General features: G+C 48.4%; 1 protein-coding gene and 1 long non-coding RNA gene across 5 annotated transcripts in view, besides 3 other annotated features; one reads left to right on the top strand and one right to left on the bottom strand.

Annotated features, from left to right (window-relative positions):
- Positions 1-13,131, top strand: part of IPO9-AS1 (IPO9 antisense RNA 1) — a 141,304-nt gene extending 128,173 nt beyond the window's left edge. The window contains exon 3 of the long non-coding RNA NR_046696.1: positions 12,974-13,131. This is a non-coding gene — a long non-coding RNA (IPO9 antisense RNA 1). The remainder of the gene's footprint in view (positions 1-12,973) is intronic.
- The window catches only part of NAV1 (neuron navigator 1), a 287,843-nt gene that overhangs the window by 125,583 nt on the left and 141,207 nt on the right, over positions 1-21,053 (bottom strand). The gene's annotated exons all lie outside the window — the stretch shown is intronic.
- Positions 10,643-11,143: an enhancer, noted in NCBI's record as "H3K4me1 hESC enhancer chr1:201659372-201659872 (GRCh37/hg19 assembly coordinates)". NCBI's record gives its function as "activates a minimal SCP1, AML or CMV promoter by ChIP-STARR-seq in primed H9 embryonic stem cells {active_cell/tissue: H9 hESC(primed)}" and the evidence as "EXISTENCE:reporter gene assay evidence [ECO:0000049][PMID:30033119]".
- Positions 16,135-16,634: an enhancer, noted in NCBI's record as "H3K4me1 hESC enhancer chr1:201653881-201654380 (GRCh37/hg19 assembly coordinates)". NCBI's record gives its function as "activates a minimal SCP1, AML or CMV promoter by ChIP-STARR-seq in primed H9 embryonic stem cells {active_cell/tissue: H9 hESC(primed)}" and the evidence as "EXISTENCE:reporter gene assay evidence [ECO:0000049][PMID:30033119]".
- Positions 16,635-17,136: an enhancer, noted in NCBI's record as "H3K4me1 hESC enhancer chr1:201653379-201653880 (GRCh37/hg19 assembly coordinates)". NCBI's record gives its function as "activates a minimal SCP1, AML or CMV promoter by ChIP-STARR-seq in primed H9 embryonic stem cells {active_cell/tissue: H9 hESC(primed)}" and the evidence as "EXISTENCE:reporter gene assay evidence [ECO:0000049][PMID:30033119]".

The following is a 21,053-nucleotide window of genomic DNA, read 5'->3' as shown; positions in this document are numbered from 1 at the left end:
GTGCACAATGTGCAGGTTTGTTACATAGGTATACATGTGCTATGTTGGTTTGTTGCACCCATTAACTTGTCATTTACATTAGGTATTTCTCCTAATGCTATCCCTCCCCCAGCTCCCCACCCCCACAACAGGCCCCCATGTGTGATGTTCCCCACCCTGTGTCCAAGTGTTCTCATTGTTCAATTCCCACCTATGAGTGAGAACATGCAGTGTTTGGTTTTCTGTCCTTGTGATAGTTTGCTCAGAATGATGGTTTCCAGCTTCATCCATGACCCTGCAAAGGACATGAACTCATCCTTTTTTATGGCTGCATAGTATTCCATGGTGTACAAGTGCCACATTTTCTTTTCTTTCTTTTTTTTTTTTTTTTTTTTTTTGAGACAGAGTCTCACTCTGTCCCCAGGCTGGAGTGCAGTGGCAGGATCTCGGCTCACTACAAGCTCTGCCTCCCGGGTTCACATCATTCTCCTGCCTCAGCCTCCCGAGTAGCTGGGACTACAGGCGCCTGCCACCACGCCTGGCTAATTTTTTGTATTTTTATTAGAGACGGGGTTTCACCATGTTAGCCAGGATGGTCTCGATCTCCTGACCTCGTGATCCACCCGCCTCGGCCTCCCAAAGTGCTGGGATTACAGGCGTGAGCCATTGCGCCCGGCAATGTGCTACATTTTCTTAATCCAGTCTATCATTGATGGACATTTGGGTTGGTTCCAAGTCTTTGCTATTGTGAATAGTGCCACAATAAACATATGTGTGCATGTGTCTTTATAGTAGCATGATTTATAATCCTTTGGGTATATACTTAGTAATGGAATCGCTGGGTCAAATGGTATTTCTCGTTCTAGATCCTTGGAATTGCCACACTATCTTCCACAATGGCTGAACTAGTTTACACTCCCACCAACAGTGTAAAAGCGTTCCTATTTCTCCACATCCTCTCCAGCACCTGTTGTTTCCTGACTTTTTAATGATCGCCATTCTAACTGCCGTGAGATGGTATCTCGTTGTGGTTTTGATTTGCATTTCTCTGATGACCCAGTGATGATGAGCATTTTTTCATGTGTCTGTTGGGTGCATAAATGTCTTCTTTCGAGAAGTGTCTGTTCATATCCTTTGCCCACTTTTGATGGGGTTGTTTGTTTATTCTTGTAAATTTAAATTCTTTGTAGATTCTGGATATTAGCCCTTTGTCAGATGGGTAGATTGCAAAAATTTTCTCCCTTTCTGTAGGTTGCCTGTTCACTCTGATGGTGGTTTCTTTTGCTGTGCAGAAGCTCTTTAGCTTAATTAGATCCCATTTGTCTATTTTGGCTTTTGTTGCCATTGCTTTTGGTGTTTTAGTCATGAAGTTCTTGCCCATGCCTATGTCCTGAATGGTATTGCCTAGGTTTTCTTCTAGGGTTTTTATGGTTTTAGGTCTAACATGTAAGTCTTTAATCCATCTTGAATTAATTTTTGTATAAGGTGTAAGGAAGGGATCCAGTTTCAGCTTTCTACATATGGCTAGCCAGTTTTCCCAGCATCATTTATTACACAGGGAATCCTTTCCCCATTTCTTGTTTTTGTCACATTTGTCAAAGATCAGGTGGTTGTAGATGTGTGGTGTTATTTTTGAGGCCTCTGTTCTGTTCCATTGGTCTACATCTCTGTTTTGGTACCAGCACCATGCTGTTTTGGTTACTGTAGCCTTGTAGTATGGTTTGAAGTCAGGTAGCATGATGCCTCCAGCTTTGTTCTTTTGGCTTAGGATTGTCTTGGCAATGTGGGCTCTTTTTTGGTTCTATATGAACTTTAAAGTAGTTTTTTCCAATTCTGCGAAGAAAGTCATTGGTAGCTTGGTGGGGATGGCATTGAATCTATAAATTACCTTGGGCAGTATGGCCATTTTCAGGATATTGATTCTTCCTATCCATGAGCATGGAATGTTCTTCCATTTGTTTGTATCCTCTTTTATTTCATTGAGCAGTGGTTTGTAGTTCTCCTTGAAGAGGTCCTTCACATCCCTTGTAAGTTGGATTCCTAGGTATTTTATTCTCTTTGAAGCAATTGTGAATGGGAGTTCACTCATGATTTGGCTCTCTGTTTGTCTGTTATTGGTGTATAGGAATGCTTGTGATTTTTGCACATTGATTTTGTATCCTGAGACTTTGCTGAAGTTGCTTATCAGCTTAAGGAGATTTTGGGCTGAGATGATGGGGTTTTCTAAATATACAATCATGTCATCTGCAAACAGGGGCAATTTGACTTCCTCTTTTCCTAATTGAATACCCTTTATTTATTTCTCTTGCCTGATTGCCCTGGCCAGAACTTCCAACACTATGTTGAATAGGAGCGGTGAGAGAGGGCATCCCTGTCTTGTGCCATCACTGGCTCTTCTTCTATAAAGTGTTTGCCTTTGGCGCACTTTCAAGTTCATTTTACAGAGCGGGCCCGTCTTCAGGTTTCTGGGGCCCTGCCACTGAGGCCCAGAATGAGTTAGACAGAGACTTGCCAGATGATATATATTTGAGTTAGCGGCAGAAGAGAACCAGTAGCAAAGGTAAGGGCAGGCTTTTGTCATTTGACTTCACCCACCTGCCCACTCCCACTCCTGTGCAGCCCTCCACCCCCAGGCCTGTCCCTAAATCCCTGACATCACTTCCTTTCGCAGAACCTACCAGTGGCCAAGTGACAAAAGGCACCTTATCTGAAGATGCCACTGTTGTGATGGGAGTAGTTCTGCCTATCACACTCCTGCCTGCACCAGAACTCAAGGGGTCAGGTCTCCTGGCTACAGACCTTTCCTGAGTTCTCCAAACCAGGCCTTTGCAGTCTTCTATGTAGGATGTGAATCCCACGTGATTCCCTTGGAAGTGGCTGCATTTCAAATGGGAGACACATCAAATGAGTGAACATCACCGCCTCTGAAGCACTGATTATCCACCAGATCATGCCGGGCTGTGCCCTGACCAGCAGCCACTGGCTTCCACTTAGCCACTGTCTTGAGGGTTCTGAGTCCACCCATACAATAGGGGCTGCCCTCAGGGAGCTTGCAGCCAAGAGGTTGGCATGTGCAGCTGTGGTCAGGCATCATCCGTGCATGGGGGCCAGAGCTTCTGTTGGGGACTGACTAGAAAAGTGATAAGGTGGGTGGGTTAGAGGAGTCACAGGGGAGGTCCTGGAAGAGGTGACCACTGATCTGAAACCAAAGGAAGGGAAAGAATGAATCTGACCACAGGCAACAGGGCAAGTCTCAGGTTCAGGAAGGATACAGCCTATGCAAAGGCTGAGCCACAAGAGAGGAAGGACTGGCTCTGGGCATCAGACGACGAGAGGCCACAGGACACGGAGCTAGAGAGTCTTTGTCAAATCCCAGCTTTACCACTGTGACCTTGGGCAAGGTATTCAATGCCCTGTGACCTTGGGCAAGGTATTCAATGTCTGGGCCTCAGTTCTCTCACCTATAAAATGAAATAACAGCTGAGCTGTTGTTTAGATTTCATGTCTTTCTCCTCCTGAAGGGCAGAGACCTGGCATATTCATTCCAAATCCCATTCTGACACCTCAAACACAGTGGGTGCTCCACACATTGTTTTAAAGTGACACCGTAGGAGAAGAGGTGTGGTTTGGGGATGGGAATGGGATGGAATGGGAGACAAAGCAGATATGGCAGGGTGACTGGGCTGCTGGCATAAGGTCTGGCCAGCCTGTGTATGGACCAGTATAGACAGCCCTGCTGCAAGCCCAGAAGAGGCTGAATGTTAAAACTCATCAAAAGTCAGAGCTGGCACAAGCCTCAGAGGTCATTTCACAGATGAGGAGACTGAGGCGCACTGGAATAGCAGTGACTTGCTCAAGACGACACAGCCTGCTGATCTCAGAGCCAGGCTTGAGGATAAAGAGGAAAAGGTTGAGCTTTGAGGAGGATTATGAGAGAGAAAGCTGGGGGCAAGGTATGAGCAAGGTAGGGCTGCCCAGAAGGCGATGCTCCCTCTGCCGTTCACACCTCCCTCTTCCCCTGCCCCACTTCAGCCTGCACAGCATCTGCTCCTCCATCAAAAAGCTGACATCCACCCTGCCTGGCTGCCTCCCTGGAGGGTTCTTATTTCTGGAAAAGCCTGCTGTGTCACTGATCCCTTCACCCCTCTACTGCCCACCACTGGGGACCCTGTGACTCGGCCCATCTGCCACCAACATGCCCCCCCATTTCCAGGATGGTTCCACTGCTCACCAAAAGGACTCGGCTTAGACTAAGGCCCCGGAACTCCCTCCAGGGCTTGGGTATCAATTGAAACAAGAAGGAGCTAGGTTAGCTTTAAGGGAGACTTCCAATTAAGAAGGCAGAGAATTCCTACAGTGAGACTTAATAAGATGTGCTGAAGAGTTTTTGCATTTAAAAAAATTTTTTGTTTAGTGAGCATCAGAAGGTGAGAAAAGCAGGCAATGTTCTGAGGCAAGAAGGGAAGGAAAAGGAAAAAAGACAGTATTTCCCGAGTGTGCGCCAGGCATGGTGCGAAACACGAATATGTATTCTGTCCTTGCAATGCAGCGGCTGAGGTAAGTATGAGTACTCCGATTTTATAGATGTTTGGCTCAGAGAGGTCAGTTAACTTCCTAAGGTCACACGGCTTGTAGGGTAGGGATCTGAATCCCAGTCTTCTCTGAAGTCCGTGCTTTTTCCAAAATGAATGATACATGACCAAAAAGACAACAGAGGCGGACGCCAGGAGGCCCTTCCTGACTCATGCTGGAATCACGCTCCTCACAGCTCACAGAATGAAGCCTGTCCTCCACTGCAGGCAATGAATGAGATACAGAACTGCCAGAAGACAGGGAGTCATGGGCCACCAGCCAGGCCAAGCATTTCTCCACCTCCAAGACATCGGGCTGCCAGCCAGTCCAGGCCTCACTGGCAGTCACTGCTCCTGTCCAATGCTTCCTCGAGGGAGCCCTTTCTCCTCACTGGGCTTTGTCCCAGCTCTGAAACCTGTAAAGCTTCTGGCCTCGGAAGAACCTTCCTAGAGCGTCTGGCAGGCAGGTTGTGTCGCCTGCTTGCCAAGATCCATGGCTGCTCTCGACTGCCTAATCAGATCATTCAGAATCCTCCTCTTCCGCCCGATTCCAATGCAGGAGCCTGGGAACCAGCTGCAGCCAAAAGCAGAGCTTCAGGGCCACTCCCTCTCCCGCTCCCACCCTCTCCTGCTCCCATCCTCTCCCAACCCCACCCTCTCCTTCATGGGTAACACATGTGTGGGACTGGAGGCTCCCACTCCCACTCCCTGAGTCTGCCCTGTCCCCACTACCTGGCCCCCATGTATCTGGAAGGGAAGTGCAAGGCTGGATGCAGAGACCCCTGGATTCCAGTCCCCGCTTCTTCCGATGCCCAGGAGCAAGCCGCTCAGCCTTTGTGGGCTTCAGTTTCTCCTTCTTAGAGAAGGAATCAGCCCCATTTCTGCTCTCCTGAGAGTAGGGCAGGGATACGAAGAGGAAAGCAAAGGGAATGAGCAGGAGGAGATGTGCTGGGCCTTCTCCAGAACCAGCGGTGCAGCCGGAGCTCCTGCCGGGGTGGTGGCAGGGTGGGGTCTCAGGCCTGGGACTGCTCTGGGGAGCCTTTGGACCCCTATCAAAGTGAGACCAGGAAGGTACAAGAAGAGGCAATGGAGTGGAGGTCAGGGAATGCCTGGGAGGCAGCCAGGCCTTCTCTCAGCCCTTGCCCAAGCCCTCCAGGGCCTGCATCCAGCCCACGGTGGCCCAGGCACCATGCTGCAGTCACCAGGCACCTTCGGATTGGTCCCCAAGTAAATAGAGCCAAATTCCCAGGAAACAAACATGCCTTAGAGAGATTTTCCAGGTCTGCCAAGCTACAAAGCTGCACCTGAGTTCAGCGACAACACATCTTTCCAGGACAGAGCCCCAGTGCCTTCCCCATACCCCCTTTTCCCCCTGGCTGGTCAAATGTGTTGGAGTTCTGGGAAGAACCCAGCATGGCTGGAGCCCTCGGACAAGGGCAGAGGTGGGGTGACAGGAGGAAGCCCCCACCTCGTGTGCTGAATAAAGTTCAGCTTGAACCCGGAACTATACACAGGGCAAAGGTGAAGTGAGGCCCTAAGCTAAGGGCCCGGAGAGGAGAAAGCTGTTAAGAGAGCCCTCGGTGGAGGAGCAGGCATGGGGAGAGCATGGCTCTGGGTACACAGGGAAAAGCCTGATGGCATTTGCTGTTCACCTTTTGCCCTGAGCCCATCCAGGGGGGCCAAGAGGCCTGAGCATGGAAGAGGCTGGTCCCGGGGCAACTTAAGAGCTGGGCCAAAGCTAGGCTTAGCCAGAGGCTCTCCAGAGGAGGCAGTGGACAAGCGACATGAGCACTCAGGGTCTGGCCAACCCTGCCTTTTGGATATATGAACCCTTTTGGCAGACGATCTCTACTGTCCCTCTACATTTGGAAGCAAGGAGGCAAATGCCTACTGTGTGCCAGCTTCTTTCACATTCCTCCTGCTGTGTGAGCCTTTCAGTAATCCTGTGAGGCAGCTTCTTGGTTCGTTTGGCAGCTGAAGAGACTGATAAGCAATTTGATTTAGGTCTCAGTTACAAAGCAGCAGGGCTGGGATTAGAACCCAGCTTCTCTGTCTCCAGCTCCAGGGCTCGTCCCACTGCGTCACTCTGGAGACTGCATCTCGCCCATCCCTGACTTTCAATGAATAAGCAACCGACAGAACACAGAGCCCAGAGAACACAGGCTCCTGGCTATTTACGGCTCCCGGTTCACTTCTCATCTTTGTCAATAGCATGTACCTATTCTTAGGGACATGTTGCTGATCACCCACTGGGGCCAGCTTCCCAGACTTACCCTCCTCCCTCTGCAGCCAGGGCTGGTGGTCCTGGCTGCATTCTCCCTGCAAATGATCCCCAGCCTAACTCAGGGCAAGAAGCCCCAGCAGCTGGTGACCCCGGCCCTCACCCTCCCCAGGGTCATCTATCTTTAATGAGCCAGAGGACGCAAAGGGGGCACCCTAGGCTCAGAAGGAGGGATGAGAGAAGCGATGGGAAATCAGCTGCCTGGCTCCATTCAGCACTTCCTTTCCCTCCTTCAAAGAACAAAGGGAGTCCCTTTGCCCTCAAGGTTTCCCAGCCATTGCTTTGACTTCCCCTATGCCTCTACACCCCAACTGGGGGAGTTCTCAGTGATGACTGTGATGACTAGGGGGCTGCTGGTCCCCTCCAGCTCTCCGTGTTCTGGCACCCTCCTTTGCTCAGCACTGACTGGCGGTTGCCATGGGAACAGCGGGCCAAGGCTTTGCTCCTGGGGACAGGCGTGAGCAGAGTCTTGACTGAATTGATGTCTGTGTGTGTCCCCTCCCCCACCAGGAAGCCAAACTGGGGGACACACTGTGGAGACAGAATTTTGTACAGGAGCACCAAGCCCTGGCTGGAGGCCGGGGGATGGCTGAGATGGCTTCAGACAGGTCCTGCCCCCAGCCCCCAGCCCCCAAGGTGTCTAAAAGCACATCTTATCCATGCAAACTTGAGTCTCTGCACCATGAGACTTCAGCATCTCTCAGATGGCATTTGAGTCCTTGACCTGACATACAAGACCCTCTACAGACATTTTTGGCCTGATCTTCCATGAGTGTCCCACATACTCCTGCCCATTCAGGCCGATGCCTGGCTGCATCTTTGCTTCCTCCATCCCTCCTACGGCTTCCATCTAAAAGACCGTCCCTGCTGGGGCACTTCTCCCCAGCCCTCAATGCCCAATTCCAGTCATACCTCCTCCAAGAAGCCTTCCTTGGCCACTCCAGAGATCACTCCCCTTCAAGCTCTGGAACATTTGATCTCTGAGCCCCTCTCATCAACGATCACATACTGCCTTTGCAGTGACAACTCCTTTTGCCTGCTGGTCTTGTCTCCTCCACTAGACACTACATCCCTTATGTAGCTCCATCCACACCCTCGCAGCACTGGGCAGCACACAGCAGCTGCCCAGGAAATGCTGCCCGAGTGATGGTGAGTGAGCAGCCTCCATTCAGCCTCCTCCCATGGAGAATGCAGGCTGCCTTTCATCTGGCCCCTCCTCTTGGTAGAAATCACTATTCCTTCCTTAGGGTCCCTGCTGCAGCCTGTAACAGACTTCTACCACAGCCTGCGTATCACTTGATCACCCACACCTCTTTACACATCCATCTGCCTTCAGGGCAAAGGCCATATGCTATTTATCTTTGAATGCCTAGCACCTGGCACAGTGCCTGATATGTTGTAGGCCTTCCATAAAGGCCTGCTAAACAAATGCATCCCCTGGGCACATAGTCAGATGGCACCTCCTCCACCCACTCACCTGCCATACTTGTCCCGCCTCCCAGTCCTCTGGTTAAGAGATGGACAGGGAGGCAGCCTCATGTCTCCATTTGCCACCCTATAGCCTTCTCTCTCCTGCCCTGCCATCCCATTCCATCCCATCTCTACAGCTCACTTCCTTTGGGAAATCTCATGCAATCCCTCTCACCCCACTTCCCTATTGGCTTATTGTCTCAACTCTTGCCTTCTGCCTCTCAAATACCAGCAGCTACTATCTCTGCCAGTTTCTCCTGATTTGGTAAGTGTCTGGCTTGACTCCCTGGAGGCACAGGCCATGCTTTTCATTCTTCTCTCTCTGTAGGTGCCCACTGCAGGGCTCTGCCTCTGATCCTACCTACAGACAGACTTAGAGATAGCCCTGTTCCATGCCGTGTTCCCAGTGAACACCTGACTTGTCACATATGTGAGCCTTTGTCTTCCTCCCTGATATCTCAGCCTCAGTGCTCCCCTGTCAGACACAAATCAGGGGGAAATGGCTCCCCAGACACCATAAATGCTTTTAATGGAGACCAGGAACTCACTCTAAAGATTTTCCTGCATTTTCCAGACCATTACAAACTCCTGTTACCAAGGAGTCACAGTGATTTTCCCTGGAAAGGCAGACATATATATTTTACTGGACACACAACTCTTTAACACACATTGAAAAAACTACAGTAAAACTCACCATTCCAGATTTATAAACTGGAGCTATCTGTCACTCCACCTGAGCACCCTACTTTCAGTGGGTCTTTTCCTAAAAAGGTCCCAAAGCCTTCCTCAACCAGCTGTTAGGTGACACTGCTCTGCCCTACAGCAGCCTCTGTTACCCACAACTCAGCATTCACCACGTTGTAATGTAATTGCCTGCCTGCTTCTCTATATCCACACCTGACAAGCAGCAACTCTGGTGTGTCCATGGCTGTATCTCCAGGGCACATAACACAGGCTCGTTGAATAACGGGTGAGACAGCAGGGAGACGAGAACTCAGCCACAAGGCAGCTCAACAGCAGAGAAGGAATGGGGCAGGGTAAAGGGAAAAGAGATATGGCCTGGAAAATGGAGCCACACACAAAGCGTGAAGAATGACCAAGAGAGGCTAATGCCTCCCTTTCTGGGCTGGCTTCAAGCAGAACAGCAGCCCCCAGTTCTGACATGAGGTCTCTAGACCACAGTCAGGGAGTTAAACAGGTGCAACTGGCATTCCAACTCCAAATGACTGGTAGTAACTTCTTAGAGGGCTGTGTTGAGAAATATTCCAAGACCATGGCCATGTTTATCAGGACGGAGTTGTGATCAATTAGTGGGCAGTTCTATAAACCACTCCTTTTCCTTTCCTTCAGGCAGAACTTTTCTTAAGCATCTCCAGAAAAGGCGATTCCACGGCGTCCTAAGCCAGGGTCATACAAGCCGCTATTCTGTTCCTTATCCATGGAACAGGGACTGGGCTGCCTGTGATTCCCTAGAGACACCTGTTCATTCCACCTCTGAGCTTTTGCTGATGCTAGTCCTTTAATCTGGAATGCATTTCCCTTTCCATTTTCTGCATGTTCAACCCTTCCTCATTCATTTGTTTGTTTACGTACTTGATGAGCATTCTCTGCACTTTCTATGTGCCAAACACCATATTAGACTCTAGGGATAAAAAGCTGACCAAAACAAAATAAAAAAGTCTGCCTTTTGGTTTGCTTCCTAAACCTCAGACCACTTCTTCCAGGGAGGCTTCTCTGGTCCTTCCACCCAGAAATGACCACACCTTCCGCTGAGGCTCAGCATACTACGGTGCCTCTATTATAGTGGTTCTCAACAGAGATGTTGCCCCTCAGGGGACATTTGGTGATGTCTGGAGACATTTTTGACTTTCATGACTTGGGAGGGGGTGTTACTGGCATCTAGTGAGTAGAGGGCAGGGATGCTGCTGAACATCTTACAATGCCCAGGACAGCCCTCTATAGCAAAGAATTAACTGACCCAAAATGCCATTAAGACCCACTCCATTATCACACCACCTCCTTTCTGTTGTGCTGAACCGTTAACATTAACAACTCCCCCTCCCCAAGCTTCACTTCCTGGATTTTAAGTTCCTCAAGAACAGGATCAATGTATTATAATATCTGGAGTTATTCATGCAGAGGGTCTAGAGGGTTAACAGAGGGTCTAGAAACTCACTGAAGTGATATGCAAAATCTCGTACCCATGTGTAATGTTCATTTTCCTGGGGAAGAGAGCCTGAGACCAGGAAAGCAAAGACCTGCTGACCTGGAGCCCAGCACTCTGCCATGGACAGGCCACGGAGGAAACAGACACACACACTGCCACGGACAGGCCACGGAGGAAATAGCCAGCACTCTGCCACGGACAGGCCAAGGAGGAAACAGACACACACACTGCCACGGACAGGCCACGGAGGAAATAGCCAGCGCTCTGCCACAGACAGGCCACAGAGGAAATAGACACATTCTGCCACAGACGAGCCACAGAGGAAACAGACACACACTGCCACAGACAGGCCATGGAGGAAACAGCCAGCACTCTGCCACGGACAGGCCATGGAGGAAATAGCCAGCACTCTGCCACAGACAGGCCAGAGAGGAAATAGACATACTCTGCCACGGACAGGCCAGAGAGGAAATAGACATACTCTGCCACGGACAGGCCAGAGAGGAAATAGCCAGCACTCTGCCACAGACAGGCCATGGAGGAAATAGACACATTCTGCCACATATAGGCCACAGAGGAAACAGACACACACTGCATGGACAGGCCACGGAGGAAATAGCCAGCATTCTGCCACAGACAGGCCAGAGAGGAAATAGACATACTCTGCCACGGACAGGCCAGAGAGGAAATAGACATACTCTGCCACGGACAGGCCAGAGAGGAAATAGCCAGCACTCTGCCACAGACAGGCCAGAGAGGAAATAGACATACTCTGCCACGGACAGGCCAGAGAGGAAATAGACATACTCTGCCACGGACAGGCCAGAGAGGAAATAGCCAGCACTCTGCCACAGACAGGCCATGGAGGAAATAGACACATTCTGCCACATATAGGCCACAGAGGAAACAGACACACACTGCATGGACAGGCCACGGAGGAAATAGCCAGCATTCTGCCACAGACAGGCCACGGAGGAACCAGACACACTCTGCCACGGACAGGCCACGGAGGAAATAGCCAGCACTCTGCCACAGACAGGCCATGGAGGAAATAGACACACTCTGGGGAGCAGAATCTCCAACCCAGCTGCTCTGAGGCCCCTAGGAGAGCTTCCACCGCACTCCCCCAATCGCACATCTCTCTCAAAGCTTAGGTTGAGATTTTGTTGTTGTTGTATTTAATAAAAGGTGCTTTATTAGGGGAAGGTACAAACAGAAGCGTGGTCTTGGGCGGCCACAGGACAGGTAGATCTCCATATGTGTTACCCCTAGAGTCAGGGCTTATGTACCATAAGGAAAGGGTATATGTGCTCCAGCAAGACAATTAAAAACAACCCCCAGAACAGGCAAGAATGCTACTCTTGTAAGTAGGAAAGCCTGTCCATCCTGTCCCTTTTGCTTATGAACCTAGGAGTCTCTGGAGGGGCCTCAGCTTTAAGCTGTTACCAATCCTCCACCTCATTGAAGGAAAGGAGCTGGGGCCTGGATACACAATGGATGTATCCTTGGTTGAGTGGTGACATGATTTAAGAGAGAATATATCCTGTCCCACCTTCCAGCTACTTCCCCCTGGGAAAAAAGAAGCAACCTATAAAACTGTCCTGTAGCGGCCTAGATGCAATCAGTGAAATACATTTGGATTCATAATTGGATTCGTATCCTATAATTTGTGCAGTAAAAGTTGGAATTTTGATGGGCACCTCAATAGGCACCTTGGGTTCTACTCATCACTTAGTGCCTTCAATATGACTAAATTATGTAAAGTAAGTTCCTACAAAAAGGTGGAGGACTTCTTTAGAATTCGTTGAGAATGCTCAGCAGAGAAGGGCATGTTCTTCCAGGGTGTGTGCTGGGATTAACTGCCTCTTGGAAGCCCATGAAGGTACCTGGTTAATTTGATAACTGATCACAAAGCTTGCACTCAAGTCTCCCCATGTTTCCATGGGATAAACTGAGGCCTTAAACTCAAGGTCAGCAGTGCATGTGGAGCAGGCAACACGTCTAGTAACCTAGGTCCCAGCCTCTGCTGCTGCCCTAACCAACCTCCTTTTCAATAGAGACAGAATTTATCAAAGTGAGAGCCAATTTCATTCTATCATATCAGGGACAGGGAAGAGAGATAAAAGGACATTTGACTCCCTGCTGTCAGCCAGAGACGCTAATGAATCCTTTGCTTCCGAAGACGATTATCGGACAGAATAATTCATCGCTAGAGATTAATTGGACTAATTACGTTGGCTCTCAGAATCCCTGAATAATTATTTTCGATGGGGGCGGGTGTCAGTGATAACTGTGTGATATCTGAGCCTCTTCCCTTGAATGAAAAGCCCGCAAAAAGGGATTCCTGGTTTTGAACAGTGGGCAGGATGTAAATATCATGGATGGCTAAGTTTCAGCTCTGATCAGGTTATGTGGTGCCCATATTTTGTGTGTAAAACCTTTATTCAGAGAAATATTATCATTTCTAATATCCCAGATCATCTTCTTCACTCTTTCATTCAACAGATTCTTCAAAACATCCCATTTTCCCCAGGAAGTTCTCCTTGATTCCATGGGAGTAGGGAGACCACAAGCTGTGCAGATTCACGTCCCTCCTGGGAAGAGGTTTACCTGGTCCATAAGCACTAACCTGCCATGGTCTACTCTGCTCCAGTGCCACCCTCCCTAACCACCCTCACCCCACCAAGGAGCCCAGGGTCCAAGGCCTGGCACACAGGGAGAGCCAGGAAGGACCTGCTCTCATCAGAACAGTTGACGGCACCCCTGCCATCTCTTCCTCTTTAAATGAAGAGCCGACAACCTTGCTACGTGAGTAATACAAAGGCTGAGTGCACAGCCAAAGAATTTAGTGTTTAAATAAAACTTACAACCAAGTTCATCTGACACATGTAATCATCTGCATTGTCACTTTCATGTTATGTGGCAATTAGAAATCAAATGGCTGGGCAGTCATTCCTCGTTAATTACATACAGCAGAATCAGGCGTGTTTGGGATGACACTGCTGGAGGTGGTTGGAGGGAAAATGAGAACCTTTGATTCCCCATCTTCCCCCATCTGAGGGAGGGCCTTGGAGAAACTTGCCCGCCCTCAGATGTTCATACTCTCCCATCAGTTCCCAGGCCACAAATGCCAGGCTTCAGGAAAGGGTGGGGCACCATGTTCACTAGTTTTAGGGCCCTAGTTGACTCCGAACCAATATCCAGGGTAGGTGGGTGGTAGCTTTAAAATCAGACAGATTTGGGTTGGCGTCTTGGCTCTACCATGAAATATGCAAACTTAACTAAGAGTCTTTATGTTCAAAAGTCTCATTTTTTTTCCACCTGTAGAACAGAGATAATTATGTATATTCTAAGGGCTATTAGGAAGATTAAAGTAGATAACGTATGTTAAGTGCTAGCACAGTGCCTAGTATCTGGCAGGCACTCATATCATAGTTGTTATTGTTGGTATTATTATCATAAGTGGGAAACCCCATCCATCCTGGTCCCTTTTGGTTACGAACCTAGGGGTCTCCAGAGGGGCCTCAGCTTTAAGCTCTTACCAATCCTCCCATTGAAGGAAAGGAGGTGGGAGGCTGGATACACAATAGATGTATCCTTGGTTGAGTGGTAATATGATTTAAGAGAGAACATATCCTGTGCCACCTTCCAGCCACTTCCCCCTGGGGGAAAAAAAAAGCAACCTATAAAACACTCCTATAGCTGCCTAGATGCAATCAGTGAAATATATTTGGATTCGGTGGTAAAATCCTTAGAGGGAGAGCCACTAGTTAGTCACTCCATGTTGTAATTTATATAATACTGTATATATTGGCAAAGGAGACCTTCCTAAATACCGTATGCTTATAAAGACTTCTGAAGGGAGAAAGGAAAAAGCATTTAAGATGAAGCTGGCAAGGAGCTGAAAGGTTTCTGTTAATGGGTAACTGTGAGTAACTATGCATAATTGCAAAATACCTTTCACACCAGGAAGGAGCTTCTGAATTGAGTGACAAAGCAGCTGCTGCTCGAGGTTTTTGCAATGGCAGCAAAAGTGAGCCTCCTCCTGTCATCTGTCCTTCCTGCTGTGGACAGTGGGGGAAGGTGAGTGCAGTCTGAGGCTGGTAGGAGAGGTAGGCTGCAGGGGTTGGGCTATTTTCCAGAAAGAAAAGGATAGATTGCTGCCCGGAAGCCAATTTAAGGGCTCTTTAGGAGGCAAAGGTGGCAAGATAACTAGCAAGAGAAAACCTGCCTACAGAAACTATGGAAATAAGCAAATGGGTTGGAGTGGGGGATAGGAGATAGATGCAAATCAATGCAATCTTGAAACAAGATCACAAGATTTTCAGTTCAGCATAAAGAAATGTGGTCAGGAAATGTCTGGGACACACTAGAGACAAAGTATCTACCAGTGCAGTTAACAACTGGGCATCCAAATGCCTAGAGTCAGGGGCTTGCTCCCCACCTATTCAAAGTGGGATGACAAGTCTGAATTTCTGAAGCAATTTGTCCTATAGTTTAATCAGACTGCTGTCCAAACACCTTGACTAAAGAAATGGGTGTTTTGATGGGGACCTGGGGAAGGTGTGAGAGATAATGTTAGAGCATGGTACCCTGGGGGAGGGCTGGTCTGGATGGAATACTGAGGGGGCAGGGATGAAGGCAGCAAGAGGGCAGCTTGAGGGGAGTGAGTATGGGGGATTGAGAGGAGGGGCAGATGCAGTTGGGGGAGGAGTGAAGGTGCTAAAGATGGGTGCCTGGATTTCTCTGAGGACCAACATGACTCCCTTCCATCTAGAAGGGCCAGGCAGCTGTCCCTCGGTGCTTATTAGGTGTGCATCTCTCCACAGCCTCTTCTCTGGCTCTGGAGCTTCAGATGTGTGTGAAATAAAAGCAGTGAGCTGAGAACATCTTGTCATGTTGATCTGCAGCTGTCTCAGGTACCCTTTACAGGGACATTCTGCAGAAAGCAAGCCAAGACTGCATTCAGGGGTATTTTAGTTCACAGTGGCCTTAAAGACATGCAGCTCAGGAGTTTCCCATGTATCCATCATGTATCATCACAATTCCAGCCCAGGGCATTCAGAAGAATGGACGGGGTTCAGCGTGGATACGAAGAGCACAGGAAGATTAGGTTCTTCTACTTGCTCTGCCACTAGCTGGCTATGTTTCCTGGACCTGCTCCTCATTTGTAAAATGATCTGTAAGTCATTTCAAGTCTTGTGGACTTGGTTTAGAGTCACATACATGCCCTGATTATCACCACAGAGGAAAAATGTACTGGCTGCTGGGCCAAGGGGGACAGGCAGGGACTGTCACCGAAGATTCTGCCACAGGCGGTAACGGATCCCAGTTAGTCTGGCCTCACATCAGGAAATATCAGGTGTTCAGGGAACCAGATACAGAGGAAATGAGCAGAAACACCCAAACATGGGGTAATGGACACCTTCTCAATGATTACAAGCTGTTTCCTACAGAGCATCACTTGGGGGAAGGTGCGAGCTCATTTGCCTTACAGCCCCAAGGCTGGAAATCCTGCACATCTGTGATGGGGCTGGTCTGAGTTTCTCTAAACTCAATTAAATTTAGCAAGCATTTGAGTGCTTGCTACAGTGTTTCTCAGCCTTTGGAGTGTAGCCTTTGGCCCAGCCTTAAAAGACTGTGATTCAGAATAACCAGGTTTTTTTTGTTTTGTTTTTGAGACAGAGTCTCACTCTGTTGCCCAGGCTGGAGGTGCAGTGGCGTGATCACCGCTCACTGAAACCTCTGCCTCCTGAGTAGCTGGGATTACAGGTGCCCACCACCATGCCAGGCTAATTTTTGTATTTTTAGTAGATATGGAGTTTCACCATGTTGGCCAGTGCGAATTTCTGACCTCAAGTGATCCACCCACCTTGGCCTCCCCAAACAGTTGGGATTACAGGCATAAGCCACCGCGCCCGGCCAGAACTGGGGTTGTGGGTTTTTTTTTTTTTTTTGAGACAGAGTCTTGCTCTGTCGCCCAGGCTGGAGTGCAGTAGCATGATCGTGGCTCACTGCAACCTCCACTTCCGGGGTCACGTCATTCTCCTGCCTCAGCCTCTCGAGTAGCTGGGATTACAGGCGCTCGCCACCACACCCAGCTAATTTTTTGTATTAAGAATTGGGGTTTTTTAAAGCTGCATAGGCTGGGCACAGTGGCTCACGCCTGTAATCCCAGCACTTTGGGAGGCTGAGGCGAGTGGATCACCTGAGGTCAGGAGTTCGAGACCAGCCTGGCCAACATGGTGAAACCCCTGTCTCTACAAAAATACAAAAATTAGCCAGGCGTGGTGGCAGATGCCTGTAATCCCAGCTACTCAGGAGGCTGAGGCAGGAGAATCGCTTGAACCTGGGAGACGGAGGTTGCAGTGAGCCGAGATCAAGCCATTGCACTCCAGCCTGGGCGACAAGAGTGAGACTCTGTCTAAAAAAAAAAAAAAAAAGGCTGCATAAAGGAAGAAAGTTTAGAATGAACCACGTGCTATTAGGTTAGCGTTGCAGACATCAGTATTAACTAATATTTAGTTACACACACACAGTTTACATATATATCACATATATATGGAGAGATAGACAGCTATGTTTACATACATGGGTTAATATAAACACATATATTCCTAGGTCTATGCACCACAGTGATAGCAATAGGCACACCCAGCACTCAGATCTCAGATTCTAAACCTCCTCCCATTAAAGGAACTAAGATTCCTTGGAGAAATAGCTGATTCTTGGAGCACTGGGGCAGGGAATGTGCAAAATGAACCTAGAGCATCTTGTAGGGCCGAAAAGCAAGGAAATAAATATGTAAATAAAGATTGGAGTATGTCAAAGGGACACAGATGCCAGTTAAAAGTGCTCCCCTAACAGCCAAAGCTGAAACAATTTTGAAAACAAAATAAAAAATGTAGAACTGGATTATAACTCAAAGTATGAAATAAACATCCACAAGAACATACTGATCTAAATGAATGAATGAATGATGAATGAATGGGGGAGAAGAGACAAATCTCCCATAAAGAAGAATTTAGGTGGACGCTCCCCCTCCAGGAGGTGAAGCCCTCCTTGAACGTGGCTGCACACAGTGACTTCCTTCTGAAGAGTACACTATGGAAATGGGGGAGGGCGGGAGGGGACAGAGGACAGTAACACTCCGTGGAGAAACTCAATGAACACCACCTTAGCGAGATAATTAAGGTCAACATCAACAGTGATAAGTCATGTTGGTAGCATGGACCAGGGCTTCCCAATCCCCAGGCCATGGACCAGTACTGGCCACAGAGCAGAAGGTGAGTATGCCACACAGCAGGAACCCTAGCCGCACAGCAGGAGATGAGTGTGCAGGCAAGCATGACCGCCTGAGCCCCACCTCCTGTCAGATCAGCAGCAGCATTAGATTCTCATAGGAAGGTGAACCCTATTGTGAACTGCGCATTGTAGGGATCTAGGGTGCACACTCCTTATGAGAATCTAGTGTCTGATGATCTGAAGTGGAGCAGTTTCATCTCAAAACCATCTCCACCCCATCCCCCAACCCCTGTCCGTGGAAAAATTGTATTCCATGAAACCGGTCCCTGTTGCCAAAAAGGGTGGGGATCGCCGGTATAGACCCTTCATAGGATGTCATGAGAATGGCATTTTACTTCTGTGGTCTTCATCCCCCAAACACATAATCCCTGTTTAGCCATGAGAAAAATATCAGTTAAAACCACTGCAGGACATTCTGCAAAATACCTGACCAGTACTCTTCAAAACTGTCAAGGTCATCGAAAACAAAGAAAGTCTAAGAAACTGTCACAGCCTAGAGGGGCCTAAGGAAATCTGATGACTGAGAGTAATGTGTTATCCTAGATGGGATCCTGGAACAGAAAAAGAACATGAGCTAAAACCCAGGTAAATCCAAATAAAGTCTGGACTTCCAAGTTAATAATAATTTATCATTATTGGTTCATTAATTGCAGTAAAGGTACCCTAATAATGTAAGATGTTACCAACAGGGGAAACGGGGGTGGGGTATGTCAACCCTCTGTACTAGCCTTGCAACTTTTCTGTAAATCTAAAACTATTCTAATATTAAAAGTTTAGTAAGAAATTAAAAATTACATCGATGGTTCTGAGGCACAGCCAGGTTGATACACAGTTGCCCCTTGAACACCATGGACTTGAACTTAGTGGGTCCACTTACACATTACTTTTTTTTTTTTCCAACCTTGCATGTAATGAAAATAAAGTATTCCCGGGATGTGAAAACTGCCTACACCAAGGGCCAACTTTTCATAGCACGTAGGTTCTGCAGAGCTGAATGCGGGTCTTGACTATGCACAGATTTGGTTATAAGTCAGTGGTCCTGGAACCAATCCCTTGAGTATGCCAAGGAGAACTACAATATGTAGTAGATGCTAAAGAAAATAAGATAATGAGTGACACTGCCCTTATCACCAAGGTTCTTAGAGCCTGACCAGGGAGAGTGGGGGACTGCTGTCAGACAAATGGAGAAAAAAGCTAAAATAGTTTCAGCCAGTGAATGCCATCAGAGGCATTGTCACAAAGGTTCAAAAGAACCTCAGAAGAGGTTGGTGGCTGCGGTAGGGGTGGGGGACCATGGGGAAAACATTTTTCTCTTTCTTTTTTTTTTTGAGATGGAGTCTTGCTCTTTTGCCCAGGCTGGAGTGCAATGGCACCATCTCAGCTCACTGCAACCTCCGCCTCCCGGGTTCAAGTGATTCTTGTGCCTCAGCCTCCCAGGTAGCTGGGATTACAGGCATGTGCCACCATACCTGGCTGATTTTTTTTTTTTTTTTTTTTTGAGATGGAGTCTCACTCTGTCACCCAGGCTGGAGTGCAGTGGCACGATCTTGGCTCACTGCAACCTCCACCTTCCGGTTTCAAGCAATTCTCCTGCCTCAGCCTCCCAAGTAGCTGGGATTACGGATGTGCATCACCACACCCAGCTGATTTTTGTATTTTTAGTAGAGATGGGGGTTTCACCACATTGGCCAGGCTCGTCTTTAACTCCTGACCTCAGGTGATCCACCTGCCTCGGCCTCCCAAAGTGCTAGGATTATAGGCGTGAGCCACAGCACTCGGCCCTTGGCTAATTTTTGTATTTTTAGTAGAGATGGGGTTTCACCATATTTGCCAGGCTGGTCTCAAACTCCTGACCTCAAGTGATCTGCCCCCCTCGGCCCCCCAAGTGCTAGGATTACAGGCGTGAGCCACTGCGCCTGGCTGGAAAAATATTCTTAAAGGATGGGTAAGATGTTTATAGGTGAAGATGGAGGAAGTAGGTGTTTCCAGGCTGGGGATATTGCTTAATCCAAGACACAGAGGCCAGAAAATGAGGCTGACTCGGGGGAGAGCAAGGAGTCCAGCTGGACCGAACAGGAAGCAATGTTCCCACATGGCCTCGTGGACTGCTGGCCCTACCAGTGTTCTGCCAAAGCAGGATCCCATGGACAAACACGCTGGGGAGATTCTGCATATTTTAAACCCATTCCTGGGGACTCACGAACCCCATTAGTATACAAAGTCTCAGAGACTCCAAATCAGAAAATCTGTTTAACCTTTCTCAACCCAGAGTTTCCTAGATTTATTTGACCACAGGGTCTTTTATTTTTAAGTAATGCCAATTAACAAGTTTCACAGAATTCCCTCAGGGAAATGCTGGCAGATGGTTTGGGTAGGGAAGAGAAAGGAGAAGCTAGAAAGGTGAGAAAGTGCAATTGTGGAGGCCTGAAATGCTGGATGCGAAATCAGGATGTTATTCTGCAGAAGCCACTGAAGGCCTCTGTTCTGGGGAGTGACATGGTCTCAGCTGTGCATTAGGAAGGCACCCCCAGAGGAGTGTATGGGGGTGAACTGGAAGGAGGGAAGTCAGGAAACATTCATGAAGGAGATGATGGTGTGAATAGGACAATGGCTGGGGACGAAAGACAATGTAATATTTCAGAGGCAGAAGCAACAAGACTTGCGATTGAACCAGGGTGAGGGTCAGGTACAGAGAAGTAAAGAAGCATGGGCGCAAGAAGTGTGGCGTTGCGATCACAGCTGGGGAGACAGGCCAGCCCAGCTGGTCTGCAGTGGAGCCCTGCCCACCATTCTCCTTTCTCTGTCCCAAAGGCTAGAGCAGCACCCTCCAGACCCCCACTGGGCGAAGGGTGCAACAAAATAAATTTAATTTGAGCAACAAAATAAAAAACATAGTGATATGGTTTGGCTGTTCTGTCCCCTCCAAATCTCCTGTTGAAATGTGATCCCCAATGTTGGAGGTGGGAGGGGTTTGAGTCATGGGGCCAGATCCCTCATGAATGGCTTAGTGCTGTCCTCTCTATAATGGGTGAGTTCTCACTCTATTAATTCACCCAAGATCTGGTTCTTTATTTTATTTTATTTATTTATTTGTTATTATTTTTTTTGAGACTGAGTTTCTCTCTTGTTGCCCAGGCTGGAGTGCAATGGCGCGATCTCGGCTCACCACAACCTCCACCTCCCAGGTTCAAGCAATTCTCCTGCCTCAGCCTCCCGAGTAGCTGGGATTACAGGCATGTGTCACCATGCCTGGCTAATTTTGTATTTTTAGTAGAGATGG

Source organism: Homo sapiens, chromosome 1 (assembly GCF_000001405.40).
Source record: "Homo sapiens chromosome 1, GRCh38.p14 Primary Assembly".
Taxonomy (NCBI): domain Eukaryota; kingdom Metazoa; phylum Chordata; class Mammalia; order Primates; family Hominidae; genus Homo; species Homo sapiens.
This window is presented reverse-complemented; position numbering and strand designations above follow the sequence as displayed.